The sequence below is a fragment of the Homo sapiens genome, chromosome 4 (assembly GCF_000001405.40).
Source record: "Homo sapiens chromosome 4, GRCh38.p14 Primary Assembly".
NCBI classification, from domain to species: domain Eukaryota; kingdom Metazoa; phylum Chordata; class Mammalia; order Primates; family Hominidae; genus Homo; species Homo sapiens.
Window position 1 is genome coordinate 96426342 of NC_000004.12, and position 18486 is coordinate 96444827.

The 18486-nt window shown below is 34.2% G+C and overlaps 1 long non-coding RNA gene across 1 annotated transcript in view, besides 1 other annotated feature; it reads left to right on the top strand.

Annotated features, from left to right (window-relative positions):
• LINC02267 (long intergenic non-protein coding RNA 2267) overlaps nucleotides 1–18486 on the top strand; it is a 507713-nt gene that overhangs the window by 115639 nt on the left and 373588 nt on the right. The window lies entirely within an intron of this gene.
• Nucleotides 2244–2444: a silencer, noted in NCBI's record as "peak5077 fragment used in MPRA reporter construct". NCBI's record gives its function as "represses an SCP1 promoter by STARR-seq MPRAs in K562 erythroleukemia cells {active_cell/tissue: K562}" and the evidence as "EXISTENCE:reporter gene assay evidence [ECO:0000049][PMID:32103011]".

Consider the following 18486-nt stretch of genomic DNA (forward strand, 5'->3'; position numbering starts at 1 on the left):
TTGAAAAACCCTGAATCTGGCCAGGCACAGTGGCTCACGCCTATAATCCCAGCACTTTGGGAGGACAAGGTGGGCGGATCACCTGAAGTTGGGAGTTCAAGACCAACCTGACCAACATGGAGAAACCCTGTCTCTACTAAAAATGCAAAAAATTAGCCGGGCGTGGTGGTGGGCGCCTGTAGTCCAAGCTACTTGGGTGGCTGAGGCAGGAGAATTGCTTGAACCTGGGAGGTGGACATTGCAGTGAGTCAATATCACGCCATTGCACTCCAGCCTGGGCAACAAGAGCGAAACTCCGTCTCAAAAAAAAAAAAAAAAAAAAGAAAAAAAGAAAAACCCTGAATCCATATCTAAACCATAGTAACCTTAACTGTTGTAACAGTGAAGTCATAGTCTTATATTACTGACACGCCTGTCTTAAAAAATGCAGGCAAATTGCCAGGGAAGAAATAAGCAGTCTTTTTTAGTATTGGTCTTGTAAAACCTAAGAATGGCAAATTTTTTATAAAGTGTGTGTGTGTGTGTGTGTGTGTGTGTAAAGACACATATTATAGAAATAAGGATGAATACTTTTTCATACATTTTTACATACATGATGTTGACTTACAAGCAGAACACTAAACCCTAGATAATACTTGATTTCTATTGCAATATACCAGAGGAAAATTACAAAATCTCTAGTAAACAGCTCATAGTGACAGTAATTTTCTTCAAGGCAAAAAGTATGTTTTCCCAAAGGGCATCTATGAGATCCTCAGAGGGCATAAGCAGATTAAAGAGGCCAGATAACTCTATTATTTTCTCCATCACTTTAAACCCATTTGAGAATCATTGTTTTGGCCCTACAACTTTTCATAGTTCTACATGCCCAACTTAGAAAATATGTACTGTTGTATGCACTATGTTGCCTTAATATTGTCAACAACTCAATTTTAGAATCTATTTTTGACTGATTATACTTATTAAGATTGACTTAATTGTGGTAACAAAAATAACTTGAAAAATGAGAAAGAAATAATTATACTTTTAGCTTTTTAAAGGTAAAGTTATTTTTGCCATTATGAGAGGTTTTCATTTTGAAAGAGTTATTATAAAAATATTAGTTCAAATCTTATTATACTGTCAGCATTTTTATTGATGTTCTCAACTTAGCGGGTAATACCTAGCTATACACACAAAATCTTCTGTACTTACATAGCAACTTTTACCTCTACTACCACCTGATAAGCAGCAAAAGGAGGATAAATGGCACTGATAAAGACAGAGGAAAAGGCAAACATATGAATCTTCCAGTTAGTTCTCTGTATGCCAACTTTCTCTGGAGAGGTAAAATTAGATTTAGTTGTTTCGTTGTTAAATGCATTAGTTTCTTTGTGTTACTTAACACAAACTGGGTGGCTTAAAACAACATAAATTTATTCTCTCAAAGTTCTGTAGGCTAAGAAGTCTGAAATCAAAATGTGGGCACCTCTGTATTCCCTGTAAAACCCCTGGTGGGAGAATCCTTTTCTAGCCTTTTCCAGCTTCCGGTGGCTCCAGGTGTTCCCTGGATTATGACCACATCACTCCAATCTCTGTATCCATAGTCATATGACCTCCTCCTCTTCTCTGTATTTGTTTCATTTTGTATTTCTCAGTCTAATCTCCCTCTATCTTATAAAGATACACATGATTGCATTTAGGGTCTGACTGCATAAACCAGGATAAGCTTCTCTTCTCAAGACCTGTAATTTAATCCCCACATGCAAACATCATTTACAAAATAAGGTAATAATCTTATTTTGGAGGACACCATCTAGACCATTACAATCTGCCCTCTGTTACTCAAAATTCACATCTGTTCCACATTCACAGTATATTCACCCCAACCCAACTTCCCCGAAATACTCAGCCTATTTAAAGCATTAATGCTAAATCCAAAATCTCATCTAAATATTATTAGTTCAAAGGTGCCAAATTTCATCATATAATTCATCTAAATCAGGTATGGATAGGACTTTGGATATGATCCATCCTCATGCAAAGTTTTTCTATTACATTTGTGGACCTATGAAGCCAGAAAAAATTATCTACTTCCAAAAGGCTTATTTATCTACTTCCAAATTGTCTACTTCCAAAATGGTACAACAGGATTACTATAACAGTCACAGCTATTTCCATTTTAAAAATAGAACATGGAATAATAAAGTGGTTATTGATCCCAAGCAAGTTCTAAATCCAACAGGGAAAATTTCATTAGGTTTCAAGGCCTAAGAATCATCCCCTATCACTTGAGGCTCTATTTCTAGGTCTCTGGCTCTGCCCTCTGTGCTCCTGGGTGTCCCAGCCTTTATCTCTTTAGCTACAGCTTCATTCTCTAGGCCCAAAGCTCTGCTGTTGGAGTAATTCTTCCTCTTTCTTGAAGGATAGCACATGTTTGCTGGTGAGAAGTTCCAACAGTTTTTTTTTCCCCTGCCTATAGAGTCCCCCAAGTCTCATAGTCTTCCTTCAATTTGCCCTATTTCTCTTTCATTCCAAACTATGTTCCTGATGATGTAACACTCTCAGAAACCTTACGGAACTCCTGTGAATGTCACAGGAATTCACACCATTAGTTAAGAAGGTCCTGCAGTTGTTCCTAGAAAAACTCACATTTAGTTCTCACTTCCACTGAAAAGATTAAATATACCCTTTATTCATATGCCTAATTTCTTCAGTAAAAAATTGCACAGCTACACCCTTAGCCGTGTCTCCCACAGCATGCTTTCCTAATAATTAATCTCCTAAATTTCTTATATTCATTGATATATAAATAGGATAACAATTTGCCAAGTCATTAAGTGCTAGTTCATGTTTGTTTAACAGTCCTGAGAAGTTTTCTCCCACACCAACCAAATCTCTTATTCTCCAACACCATCCGAATGTCCTACAATTCAATTTCATTCTGACACTAAATACCCGGATTTAGCATCAGACTCTACACATTTAAGTGCACAGTCCCATGAGACAGCCTTCACTTCAGACACCAGTCATAAGTATCAGCTCCCTATCCCCAGGTTAATATAAACTTCTGTCCTACTTGGCTACAAAGTTGGAAGTTCCCAAAACCCACCTGTCAGGGTAGATCATTTGCTAGGATTGCTCACAAAATTTAGAAAAATTCTATACTTTCCATTATAGTTTATTATAAAGGATACGAATGAACAGCTGGATGAAGAGATACATAGGATAAGATTTGGAAGGGTCCCAAGCTCACAATTCTCTTTTCTATGAAGTTGGGCTGTACCACCCTCTCAGCATGTGGATGTGTTCACCAGCTTAGAAGCTCCTAAACCCTTTTGATTAAAGGGTTTTTTTTTTCTTTTCTTGGTTTGGTTTTTTGTTTTTTATGGTTTCATTATACAGGCATAATTGTGGACATTAATAATTAACTCATTCTCCATCCCCTCCACCCTTTCCTGAAGGATGGGAGGAGGAGCTAAAAGTTCCAAGCTTCTAATTAAAGTTTGGTCTTTCTGGCAATCAGCTCCTATCCTGAAGCTCTCTAGGGACCTGCCAGTATTTGCCTTTTTAGAACAAAAGATGTTCTTATCACCTTTATCACTCAGCAAATTACAAGCCTCTTAGGAGCTTTGTACTAGGGATGAAAAACAAATATCTTTTTTATTATACCATAAATTCTTCCAAAACAGGATATTGGGTATAGAGAACCACCTATCTCCACTGTAAAAGTAAATCTTTCTGAGATTTACACATTGTCCAGATGCAAATGTTTCAATGTTGACAATGCAGAAAAAAGACAGAACTAAGTTGATTGTATTGAAATCTCCTGGAAAAGAGCCTCAAGTGTACCATCTGTATGTTAATACGTCATAAGGCACTGCATATTAAAATTATTTACTTCATAGTTTATAGTGCAGATTTCATATTATAATCATTTTATGTAATTGACAGAAATCTCAAAATCTCATCACAACATAATTTTTCTATTAAAATTCTACATTTTGCTACTATGTTATAGTTTAATAAATCAATGCAAAGCAATGGATTTTTATTAGAATCAATATAAGAAATGTAACTTTATCTGCTCTGACTATATTAATAAGTAATTAGTCACATTTTCTTGCTTCTTAGGACATCCCAATCCACCAAGTCAGTGTGATTCTCAAACTTTAGCATGCATCGTATTCATCTGGAAGTCTTGTGAAAACATTATGCTTAGCCCTAGAGTTTCTGATTTAATAAATCTGGGGTAAGTCATAATAGTAATAATTTGCATTTCTGACAAGTTCCAAAGTAATTCTTCTGGTACAGATTCTAGTCTAGAATCTACACTGAGGATAACTACACTAAGTAACCAGTAAGTACTATTAAAAATTTGGTCTATGGATCACCACAAGCAGAAACACTTGGAGCTTGTTAGAAATGAAAGTGTTGAGTCCCATCCTGGTCTTACCAAATAAGAATCTTTGGGCTTTAACAAGTTCTTCATCTGGTTCTTACATACTTTCAAGTTTGAGGAGCACTGACTTACTTTAGACTTATGTAACTAAGATTTAATATTTACACTAAGGCATCATCCCCACCCCCTCCCCTACCTTGTTATTACATACTGTGATTGGACACCAGAATAATACTTTCACCAGTTCAAATGTATATCAGATAATTAGAGTTGTTGCTATTTTTTAAATAGGTCTATCCAAATAGATAGGGATAGATAGATCTATTTCCTACAATCTTTACAACCTTAAAATGGCAGGGAAAAAAGCTCACAGATTTAGTACATGTTAAATTCCATAGCTACACTGTTCAATAGGGTAGCTACTGCCCACATATATTTACCCTTAAACTGAAATAAAATTAAATGAAAAACTCTGTTCCCTAGTCACAGGAGCCACATTTCAAAAGCTCTACACCAACATGTGGCTAGTGGCTACCATATGTGCATAATCACAGAAAGCTGCATGCACAGCGCTGTTCCCGAAGTGCACCAGGGGTACATATGTTCTTTCTTTTTCAATAGTTCAGGTCATTGCATTCAAAACATATTGACTCTGCTCCCATGGTAACTGCAAGGTATTTCTTGCAATTTTCCTTAGAAAATCTACTAATTATGTCAAAAGAAGTATTCAAATAACATTACAATTGTTTTTCTTTCTGAACATATATATAGTACATTCACAGTTTTGTGCTTGAATGTTATTAAAATGCAACTTGTAACATATCCACTGCTTTTTCCAAAGGGCTCAATCATTAGAGAGAGAATTTTTAACTAATTCCAACTTTCTGGTTTTTATCTACCCCATCCTCCTCTCAGTAGTGTTGTAATCAATAGAAACATGTCTAACTTACTTGAACTTTCCAAGTTTCTCTTCATTCTGCACTGTAATAATAAGCTTTGCTTCTCTGTGCTAGAGTCACTAGAGATGCAGGAGCATATCAAATGTTGCTTGTGTTAAAAATAACATTTTTTTTTTGAAACGGAGTTTTGCTCTTGTTTCCCAGGATGGAGTGCAATGGCGTAATCTCAGGTCACAGCAACCTCCGCCTCCTGGGTTCAAGTGATTCTCCTGCCTCAGCCTCCCGAGTAGCTGGAATTACAGGCATGCATCACCATGACTGGCTTATTTGTATTTTGAGTAAAGACAGGGTTTCTCCATGTTTGTCAGGCTATTCTCGAACTCCCGACCTCCAGTGATCTGCCTGCCTCCACCTCCAAAGTACTGTGATTACAGGCGTTGAGACACTGTACCCTACCCAAAATAATGTTTTACTTTGACAGAAAGAACCAGAATCCTAGGACTATGATATATGGGGGACATTGTGTAATGAGAATGTCCTTCTGCTTAAGTGCAGCCCAATAAGTACAACTATTTATAGAAATCCAAGAAGTATCTAGACTCTCCACAGTGTCAAAGTTCCTCCCTGGAGGCAAATTTATTATGCAGGGAAGATCATGATTCCTAAAATGTTGGAATACCACCACCATATTGGAATACCACCACCATGATCCATTATTCTCAGTATTAGAAACCACAAAATTTCTAAAAACCCAAAGTATCAATTTGGTAAGATTGTGGCAAATTCATTTGGTGGTAGAATTTACATTGAACCAATAGAGGAAGGGGTGTATTATTAGATTATATATACATATATATATACACACACACACACACACACACACACACACACACACACACAGTATGACTAATAAGACAATATGATATATGACATATATGATATATATGATAATTTATATCATATTGACTGTATATAAAATAAGACAATATAATTTTTTTCCACTGAGGCATCATCCCCGCCCCACACTCCCTACCTTGTTATTACATACTGTGACTGGACACCAGAATAATATTTTCATCAGTTCAAATGTATATCAGATAATTAGAGTTGTTGTTATTTTTTAAATGGTTCTATCCAAATGGATAGATCTATTTCCTACAATCTTCATAGATATATCATATTGTCTTATTAGTGATATAATTTTCCAAAGAAATGCCAATATGTTTGATTACGAGATGTTGCCTCAGACCCTGCTGAGAATAACATGGGCCAAGTTTTTCAATGCCATATTGCTTATTTGGGTCTCAAATAAACATATAATTTTTAGAAGGCAAAGATGGCAACATTCATTCATCCAAAAGGGTTAGTATATTATGATTGAGAAAAAAGTATTAAGCAAAGTAATATTTAATGTATTTGAGAAAGTGTCATGAGAGGAGCTCTAAAACTTGGTTTGGTCTTGGCTTTCCAAGTTTAATGACCATACTAAACTCTCAAAAGCCTAAATTCCTCAAGAAATGTAAATATTTTGTAACTTTGGTAGTTTTTGCAATCATCTCTTTCAGTGATTCTATTACCAGGTTATAAACGCTTCATCAGAGCAAATAGTAAGACCTGTTATTATGCCATAACTTGAAATATGATCCAAATTATATGCTGTGTTTTTTAAAAAGTAAAAAACAATAAAGGTATTGAATTTCTGACTTAAAAAGTTTGATTTATAATCCCTGGGGTTCTTTTTTTTGTCCATTTACAAGGGTAAGAAACAAATCTTATTGTCTAATACAGTACATGATAGTATCGTTCAGATAATTTTTTCAGGAAAGCACAAACAGGAATGAGGAAAACCTATTTTAAGATTAATAGTCCATCTTACTATAGGTCCAAAGATTATGCTGTCACAGAATATTTTTACTTCCTATCTCATTTATAAACATTCAAACCTGAATTTACAAAATAGTCTAGAGGCCTCTAACAGCTCCAGTGGGTCAAGAGTCATAACTGTAGAAGGTGGGAAACACACGACTTTCCAAGTGGTTGACATTTCAGATAATGGAAGTCATTCTTTCAAGTTATTCTCCCTTAGGATGAGAGATATTACACAAGTGGATGGGGGGAGAACTGATACTATGAAATCGTTTCTTCTGAAAGAGCACGCAATTTTTATTTTTGCGTGAATAAATAGCTCATTAAATTGAGTACCAATAATAAGTACTTTTTTTACTGATTTAATTAACATAAAATTTTACAAATATAATGAACAATATAAATGTATATTTTAGGGACAATATTGAAATTTATCCCATTAAAATATGAGGCTAACAATGGAAATGTAATTAATAACTTCTAGTAAACATGAAAAATACTTATTAAAATGAAGATGAATGAAATAGAAAATTGATATAAATATCAATTTTATGTAGATAATATGTAGATATATAGATAATAATATAGATTTATACATAAAATAATATGTAGATATATAAAGTTATTGTCCTGAGAATTCACTTTTCCCTAAAATAAATACATTCAATGTGTTTTAAATTCATCTAATTTTATAATTTGAACATAAAGAGACACTTAAATGTTAAAAAATAAACCACCAATAGTGACATTAATTACATAAAATGCTATTTTGTAAATTAAAAATTTCCTCTGAGATACTCAAAACATGTTACTGATATCATACGAATTAATTTTCTCTATACACTTTCTTAGTTTCATATTCTAGAGGATAAAATGGTGTTTTCAAGAGTAATTCAGAAGTCTTTTAAGGTAAAAGAAATTTCTTGCTGACATTAAGTAGTAAACATCACACATTTATTTTGAATAAATCTCCTAAACAGTATAAGATTTATTATAGGTTAAAAGACTACTTATTTATAATCTTTTATGTTTATAAAAACAATTTATGACCTATACTAAATGGAATTCAAAGAGAAAGCATTCATTAATGTTAGCTGCTCTTATTTTATTAAGAGTAAAAACAAGTTACTATCCTCTCACACTATATGACTCTAAATTCCACTTAACTTTTAGAAAGGATTCATGCTTTTGTTCTTCTAATTCAATGGCTTTATTTTACATATATAATGCATATATTCCAAAATGTTGCTTTCTAATTAATATCTAGAATAAATGTTTTGAACACAAAATGTCACACTGTCTTTATGTCAGTTAGTGCTCTATTTGCCATCATTATTGTAATTTCCACTTCTGGCTGGGTGTGGTGGCTCATGCCTATAATCCCAGCACTTTGGGAGGGCAAGGCAGGTGGATCATTTGAGCCCAGGAATTTGAGACCAGCCTGGGCAACATAATGAAACCCCATCTCTATTTAAAAAAATAAAACAAAAATTTTTAAAAGAAAAAAACAATTTCACTTATGAGTGCCTTAAGTGGATATAAATTATAGAAACACAATTTTTGGCTCAGTAAATGAAAAAATTAAAGATGCCTGCAAATTTCCCTGGTGTTCTCCTGAGGTAATAAAGTGCTCATCATCGTAAGCTTTAACCTGGAGTTAGACAGCAAACTACTGAAGAAGAAACATAAATTTGGAGCTGCAATTGATTTCAAGGAAGTAATTTTTAAACATCAGTCAGCCTGAAATTAAACTAGTTAAAAATAAAGTTCACAGTATGCTATCTCCTATAATTCTAATTCATAATGTTTAAAAAGAAACTTGCTATATGTAAGAGGCTCGAGAGAACCTGTTTGCTGCTTCTGCCATTTGAAGATGAAGCAAGAAGCCACCATATTTGAAGCAGACAGTGTCTCCTCACCAGACACTGAATCTGCTGGCCCCTTGATCTTGGACTTCCCATCTTCCAGATCAGTGCGCAATATACTTCTGTTGTTTATTTAAAAAATTAATTAATTAAAAAAATAAACTCACTATTTTTACAAAGTAATTTCGATTATGCTGATGCAGGTGGTCAAAGAACCACATTTTGCGATCTGCTACCTCAAAGATTATTTGGCTCAAATTTCAATTTGTGAAAGAGTAAATAGAGTACAATGGTTAAGTGAATTTGATGTAAACTACAGTTAATTAGTTTCTCACCTGGGACTTGAAGTAAGTCACTACCATAAATTACTCACTATTCTAATAAATTTAATAATAATACTTGTAAATATTAATAAATGAAATTATTAAACCAATTACATTCATATCAGCAAATTAACTTAATGTTGCAGATGGTATCACTTTGCTGAAATTAATACCCACAACATGGGTATCTTGTGGGAACTCTTTTGGTGCACAGTATTTGCATGTGCTGGTTTTACTACTAGTATTAATAACGTCTAGCCATTATTCAGTGCTTATGATGTTCCAGACACTGTTTAACCACATTTTAACTCATTTAGTATTCATAACAATTCTATGCAGAACGTATATATTTCCTCAATTTGTCATTGAGGAAGCTTACACAGGAAAAGGTGAAGTCACTTATCCAAACTCAAGTACAGAAGCCAAGCTCAATATTGTATTTTCTTAACCAATACTGCTCTAATGCCTCGGACACACTATTGTGTGTTGGGTTATAATTCAAACAACCCACTGCTATTATCCAGTTTAACTACTGAAAAACTGTTATTTATACGGAATGTCTTGACCACATTTCATCTTCGCTTGGTGTACATTTGCATGTTAATTGTACCTCAATCCTTGTCTTGATAGTACTGGAAACAAAGCACTGCCTATCATTATTGTGAGGTAAAATAAAAGCCTCAGTTTATTAACTAATTTCAGAAATCATAATCTTTTTTATGAAAATTGCTTGCAATTGTACATATAATTTTGGCATTCATAACTGACAACATAATTTGAGTTCAACAGTGGGTGCAGGAGAATTTCTGTCATTTTGAAACTTGTCTATATTAACCTAAGGCCAAACAGAAATCGTCTCCCCAACTTTAAAAATTAAACACTGGCACTTAGATAATCACTTATGATTAACACACTAATATAAATACAGGCATCGAAATCATAAAAAAGGCTCAGACACCTTGAATTTGTTTATCACGAACAATAAGACAATTTTTTAAATAGAAGATTTATCTCCAAGAAAACTAATTAAATATCACAAATACATACTCTCTCCCTCTCTCACTCTCTCTCCATATATATATAGATATATATGTTCCATATATATGATACGTGTCATATATATGAATATGATATATATCATATATATCCAATATATCATATATATGATATATATGTCCATATATATATCTCATATATATATATGAGGGGAAGGTGGATATATATATCCACATATATATATATATATATGTGAGAGGGCTGAATAAAAAGATTACATGGTCCTCTCATATTTAGAAAATATACAAATGTACAGCTGATATATGACTGCACACTTCAAGTCTTTTTTGGATCAAATGGGCTTATACATTTTTACAACTGAAAAAAAAACTCATACTGTCTTGTTGCGTTTTTTTTAAGAGAATGTAAAGCATAAAGTCTGATGCAATATACAGCTCCCAAGATGTTTGTTAGAAGATTACACTGGATTTATGCTTCAATGCAATACTTCTTTGGAAAATTTGTGTCAGCAGTTTGCCCTTTAAAGCCCTTTTAAATTTCTTAGCAGTCTTTTCCCTTGCTGAAGATAGTCCTTGTATTAGTCCATTTTCACACAGCTATAAAGACCTACTTGAGACTGGGTAATTTATGAAGAAAAGAGGTTTAATTGAATCACAGTTCTGCATGACTGGGGAGGCCTCAAGAAACTTACAATCATGGTAGAAGGCAAAGAGGAAGCAAGGCATGTCTTTCCAAGGTGGCAGGAGAGAAACAGGGTAGGGGGTTGGAGGTGGCGGGGGAGCACCATTTATCAAACAACCAGATCTCGTGAGAACTCTATCTGGAGAACAGCAAGGGGCAAGTCCACCCCCAAGACTCAATCACCTCCCACCAGGACACTCCCACAACCAGTGGAGATTATAATTCGTAGTGAGATTTGTATGGGCACACAGAGCCAAGCCATATCAGTCCTCTTCCAGTTCTCTCCTGTGCTCCAGGGCTTTTCTGAACTCTCATATTGTTGTTCTGCCTAGGGCAGAACCCCTAAATTCTAGGGTTGTGCTTTAGATTATATTGTTTATCACTAACGATAGCTCAATGACTCTAAATAAATTATGAAGAATATTCCAGTCTTTAACAGGAGGCTACTACTGTTAAAGTTTTTGCTCAAATAATTAAATACCTTACTTTAGAATTTTAAACACATGTGGTGATAAGGTAGGATTGTTTAAGGCATACATTCTAGAATATATATGCTGTCCCCAAATCTTTATTCTAATATCAGGTAGGTTAAATATCTACTCTATCTGCATGTGGGACTAACTGTGCATTCACCTGAACTGCAGTAGCTTTTAAGTAAAGGGTATATTTCATCAGCCTATGTGCATAAGTTATGAATTAGAAAAGGAAAAAGTATTATATCTACTCATAATATTAGTTGAAAAGAACACCTCATCTATAAATATATAGAAAGCAGGGTGGACTAGTATTTTCTAATAAGGCCATTTGTGTACCACATTTTATTCTAGGAATAAGAATAAATGCTATCGGTATTCTGGAGCCAGCTTTCAAACAGAATCACAAAGCTTTGTTAGCTGAATACTGCTGAGAAGGCAAGTATGAAATACACTATGCAAGTATAAAGGCGACTTGTCACTCTTCCAAATAATTTTTAAAAGGCATGTCTGTATGCTGTTTAGAGACTAATGAAAAATAAATATACAAGCTACTACATACCTAGCTTTTTAATATTTTTCAAAATCTTGTGTACTTAACAAACTTTTATATTCAAAATAGAGATATGTCATGGGGATATAATTTAATTAGGAGTAAAATGTGGGCACATAAAAATAACACAAGTAGAGCTTAAAAACTGAAACTAAACCAGTTTAAACAACTAGTTATCAGGTTTTACATCATTGAAGTAATTATTTGTGTATTTCCCATTTAAATTTTACAATATTTATACTTGATATCTTCACTAATTTGTGTTTATTAACTTGCTTTTCAGACAAATAAGTTTGAATATCTCTGTCTATTAAAACTAACCTCGCTGTACTTGATGTCAGTACTTATTTCTAATTTTAAAAAGGTTTTTATTCCATGCTCTTTTAAAGCTTTTATGCCATCTTCAAATTTGACAAGAAAGGCATTTGTGTCTACATTAAGCATTCAGTTAATGTCTCAAATATACCTGAAAATCAGTATTTTCAAACCAAATTCATGAGCTTTCTTCAAACCTGGTCCCCTGCTGCAGTGAGTGTTTGAACTTTTGTCTTGCTATCCAAATCAGAAATGTAAGAGTCATCATGTATGTTTTTTTTTTCCACTTGCCCCGGCTTAACAAATCTCTCACCAGTTCCTCCTAAACATGTCTTAAAGAAGTTGACTTTCCTTCCTTCCGACTGCCAGCACTTACAGTCCAAATTACTCTAGTCTGGGCAAATACTCTAGTTTTCTAACAGGTACCCTTCCTTCATGACACTCTCCAATCAATTATCTAAACTACAGCTGGGGTGATCTTGTGAAATGTAAATCCAATCACATAATTCCCTGCTTGAAATACTTACGCAAGCTAAAAATTAAACCCAAGGGTTCCTGTCACAACCATTTTCTCCTTCGTTGTCTTAACATTTTTGTGTGTGCGGGGGAGTGGGGTGCTGGGGATGGTGCTCACTGTGATTAGACCACTCTGGGTTTCTGGATTTCCTATGCCTGTGAAACACATCATACTCCCTTATTCTTCCTGGAATCATCTTTTCATCTCCAACCTTCCCCATCTTTTAACTCCCCCAGCCGACTTAATTTCTATTATTCTTTCATATTCTAGCTTCATCAACACTTGCTTTCTGATATCCTTCCTTGATTTCCCAAATGAAGTTAACGACCAATACCTTCTGGCACTGTGTGTCTCTCTTCTTCATTGAAATTTCTACAGTAACAATTTCTTATTTATTTAGTGTGGCTTATTGATTAATTTCTGATTTTTTTTCATCTGATGATAAGGTTCATGAACTGATTATTCCATGATTATATTCGCTGGACTTAATAGCAGTACATTTAATAACATTTGTTATTTGTAGATTGCTGGATAGACAGCATTAAATTCTAAGTACTGGGGTACAGCATTAAAAAGTATCATCAATAGAAATTCTACCCAGTATTTCCTAAACTTCGAAATTACCTATTATTAGATCTTTGGACTCCTAATAAACAGTTATCTGAGCAATTCATTCAGGGCTTTTCAAACACTACTTTCTCTAAATGTTATTTGTGCACATACTTAAAAGATCCCACTAGATGGTAAGCTCCTAGAGGAGAGAGATTGTTAGAGATCTTTATCTCTGCTTCCCTCTCAGCTGAGTATTTAACATACAATATTTTGAACATAATGCATACATAAATACATACACATGCACAAACACTAACTTACTAAATAAATAAAAACCATTGGTTGTTTTATGCATATCAAAGCTCTTCTATCAATTTCAAATTTCTCTGTATAACTTTTAGTAACACAGTTGAATCCAGCATATACCCCCTCTTCTATCTCACTCCCTTCACCCCCATCTGTTGCCCATATCAGTGCAGGCCTCATCCATTTGTGCATTCATGGAGATAAGTTGTTGTGCTTCAGTGACATGAGTAATTAGTGCACATTTTTAATTCAGTCTCCAAATGGGTTCATTTGTCTAAGTTTCTCAAAAAGGAAATACTTTTAATTGGTGTTTTCTAAGCATTTCAAATATAAAGTTAAATATATTTAACAATGTTACTCCTGACAATAAGTTCATTGTATGTGAAATAGAGTAAGAAGTGGCAGCAATGATGAATCAAATAATAAGATTAAGAAAGACTGGTAAAAACATGGACTTTTATGTACTGTACTAGTAGTTTAGAAGTTAGTATTAAATTGGCTTTCAGAATACTGCTATTGAAGGTTTTTGTAAGTCATTCGTTTTTACATGTTTCAATTTGAGTTGGACTCTTACATTAAAGCAAAAATCAAATCATTTTTATATCCTGTGCCTCTAGATAAAGTCTTATACTAATAAAAAGAAATGGTGCTACAAGACCTTTATTTTTATGTCCAATCTTGTCCATCTTGTTGCTGGACATTTATAAATCAGCATAGGTCTCTTCAGATGACCTTTAGTGGCACTCTTTTAGCTGGTCTCCTCCTGTTATTTTTGCTTCTTCTTTCAGCGAACTGAAGTCAACATAATTCCTTTTCTATGTGTGAAGGAATGTACTAAAATCAAGCAAAAATATCCCAACTGTTTGCTCCAAGAAATACCTGCTCCTAGAAGATAAGATTATGGACTAGCTAATGGCTCACATATCATGGCTAACAGCTTGCTCATTGATAATTTCATGACACTCCCTCATTGCAATCACCAACCCAAAGGTGTTAGGTCATAAACTCTGTCCAATCAATTCCCTGTTTGTCAAGATACACCTTAAAAATCATATAGCCTAGGCTCTAAAACCCTATAAATATAGTACATCTAAAGTAAGTCTCTGCAAAGTGGAGTTTTACCTTTCTGCACAAATCTAATAAACTCAGTTTTATTTTATCCACAAGGTTTTCTGGTGGTCTTTTGGGAGATCAACAGTCAGCATTTGTTGGTATTGTTTTTTCTGTATTTGCTCTTTAAATATGCCCCTAGTTTCAAATGCTGGCCTTGGCTCTTGGTTATTAAATAAATAAGTTTGAACAAGTTACACTACATCTCTAAGCCTATGTCTTGATGGGCAAAACGGGAATCTCATAGGGTTCTTCTGAGGATAAATGAGGCAGTGTGTAAAGAACATCAGCTAACTCACTTCCAAGTATATTAACTCATTTAATTTTTTATATATTTTCATGAGTCATTATTTACATATTAAACATGAGGAAAGTGAGGCACACACAGAAAAGTCAGATGACTTGCCCAAGGTTAGAGATCTTATAATTAGCAACACCAGCATTCAAACCCATACAGTTCAAACAGCAGCATTCAAACACAGAAAGGCAGCCCCACAGTCCATGGCCTGACATACTAAGTCATGTTGTCTTTGCCTTATTAGTTTAGTTCAATTCCCCTCGATGGTGAATAGAGGCTCCCCCATGTGCTCCCATTCCTATTCAAGTTATTCTAGATGCTATTACCATCATTTTTGTTGTATATCAAATGTCAAATACTTTTTGCGAATATTGTTAGTCTCCAGTGACTAAAGATCATTTGGTCCCATTTTTTTCCCCCTAGTCTTGGTCTTACTTAGTCTTTGGGAGGGAAAAATAGCCCAAAGGCATGTCTGGAAAGTTATCTTAAGCCACTTAGGTCTGCCCTGAATTTGGTTTTTTTCTTCCACAAAGATATAGGCTCAGGGAGGGAAAATGATTCTCCATTTTAAGTGACAAGGAAAAACAGGTAATAGGAACATGGTAATAGTAAAAACAGTAGCAATAGCAGTAGGGTTAGCAAGATTAGTAGTTGTTAGAGCATACTAGTAACATTAGGTAGTCCTGTCTCTCACTTATTTTATTAACAAATGTGTATTGATCATTTGCTGTATGTATGGCATTGTGCTGTATCTTAGGGCTCTACCTTTCCTTTTTCTACATTGTTTTTACATTTTAATGGTTCAACTCTCACGTTTTTGATAGAGGCTCAAATCATTATATCAAATCCTCATTCTCTGTAAAGCAAAGCCAAATGCCTATTGACTGAAGAAAGTCTTTTCAAGAATGAGCTAGAGCCTCAAAAAGCACAGAAAAAAAAAATCGATGTATTGTCTTCCCCAAAATCAGCCTTGCTTTGTTATCTATCTGAATGAATTGCATCATCTCTCTTTTAGCAGTTCATCATAAGTCTAAACATTATGGGTCTGCGACTAGTCCAGACCCCAAATGGCAATTTCTGCTGCATGATTTTCCCTCTTCCACAGCTGTACAGTTAATCTCACTTGTCCTGTACATTACCACTGTACCACACAGATTTTTTCCATGTGTCTGTTGTCTAATCTCCACTCTAATATACAAAGCCTGAAGACAGGTATCGACTTTTACTTTTTTTAAGAAGCTATATATCCTCAAAGGTGAATAAAATGTCCATCCTTATAATCAAGAAATATCAATTCATTGGATGAAGAGTGTTTAGAATCATTGTTAAATCAACTGTAGGAAATAAAAACTTCCAGTGTTATTTGACAGCTTAATAAAAAGAACCTAATTTCTTAATTGTCATAAGCTTAAGCTGTTACTAAGGCAAGCTTCCTCACTTAGTTTTTTAATTGTTTTATCTGAAAAAGTAATTGTATCTTATAAGAATTTCATGATAATTTAGTAATTAATTATGACAAGGTACATTGTACTTTAAATACAGGTAGATTATCGAATGGTTAGCATGGTCTGTGTGTCTTTACGTGCATTACCTCATTGTACTATTACTAGAATGCCACGATGTAAGTGTTATTACATTATTAAATCATTTTGTTCCAGAGCTGAATAAAAAAAAATTTCAAAAAAGTTCAAGTAAACACTTGAACTCAAATGTTTCTAATTCTAAATCCCAAACTCCGAAACTTGCCTTCTTCTTAACAACAGTTCTTTTAGCTGACATGCATAGCTCATATAAGTCTTTTATCTCTAGCTACTCAAAATGGAATGGAAGTCCACCAAACTTATGTTTTGTTTCAGAAGCATAGTAATTTTATTCTGCTTTAAATCTAGATGGATATATTACCAGATGAATATATCAACTTTAGAGGACCTTTTTTGTTGAAGAAAAATGACATCACATGGAATTCTGCTAAGTTAAGCAGTGCATTGCTTCCCTTGGAAGACTTGCCACATGGCTGTCAAGACCCACAGTTTTCACTTTACTGTGGGCCACTTCTTATGTGCCTATTTTAGTATAAATTATGCTTTTTGAAGAAAGTACAAAGTTCTGCCATATTTATCTATGCCACTGTGGAATCTATAACTTTATTTTTGTGGTAGAAAGTAACAGTCTATTTTTACTAAGGAAAGAAGACATTTAGGTGTTCTCTCTGTGCTTTTTTTCTTTACCCATCTTGGACTCTTTAGAATGTGTCTAAATTTGGAAGATCACCACTCAGAATGTACTAATTTTTTACCATTTTCGAAGTGCACCAAATTGAAGAAAAATATGCTAGGTGGACTCATGACAAGCTCAAAGAAAAGAGCATATCAAAAGAAATTGATAGCATGAGGTTATGCTTTAAGAAAAAAAAACTGTAGGAAAGAACTTGTCTCTCTTAATACATGTGAAGTCTTGAAATAATTTGGAATGGCAGAAGCGGGGCTAGTATAGCATATAAAATACAAGAGCTGAACAGAAGATCTTTAGTTTAGGCACCTCCACTGTTACCGTGTACAATTTTTTAAATAAATCTCTTCCTATTCTCTGGCCAGTCTGCTAAATGAGGCATACAAGGTTATTACTAAGCTCACATTTTCTATGTGAAGAGAGAAATATCAAGTTAAGCTATTTTACAGTCAATCCTATTAGCATTGTTAGCTGCACCCAATAGGTTAATGAATGGGGCATTGCCTCTGTGAGTGACTAAATACCATTTTATGTTCTTTTCTGAAATTTAAGAAATCAAGAAAAGGCAAAGCAGTGTTTGATGTGCATTTAAATATGAGCACAATGCTATAACTAAAGAATAATTAAGAAAACCTAGAAGTTTTTATTATAATAGTTTTAAAAAATATATGCATGTATAAGCAGCAGAGTGTAGAGTACCAACTTTACATTTTCAAATAGAAAAGCATTGTTTTGACTCAGAACCTCCTGAAGAAGACATATGACTGTTCAGTCACCATTTAGGATGCTTCAGAAGTTAATAAATCTAATTCATTTACTAGTGGTTAGTGAAAAAATCCATGACTTTAAAATTCAAAATCCTAGCTTCAAATCCTAGCTATTTGTGTGGCTCTGGGAAAATTAGTGAATTTTTTGTAAAATTTAAATCCTATTCTTTCCAGTGATAAAGCCTGCTAGATGGTGGTGGATTAGTTTTTTGATGTGCTGTTGGATTCAGCTCATAGTTTCTTGAGATCTTTGCATCTCTGTTCACCAAGAATGTTGGCCTGAAGTTTTGCCTTTTTTTGTTGTGTTTCTGCCAGGTTTTGGTATCAGGATGAT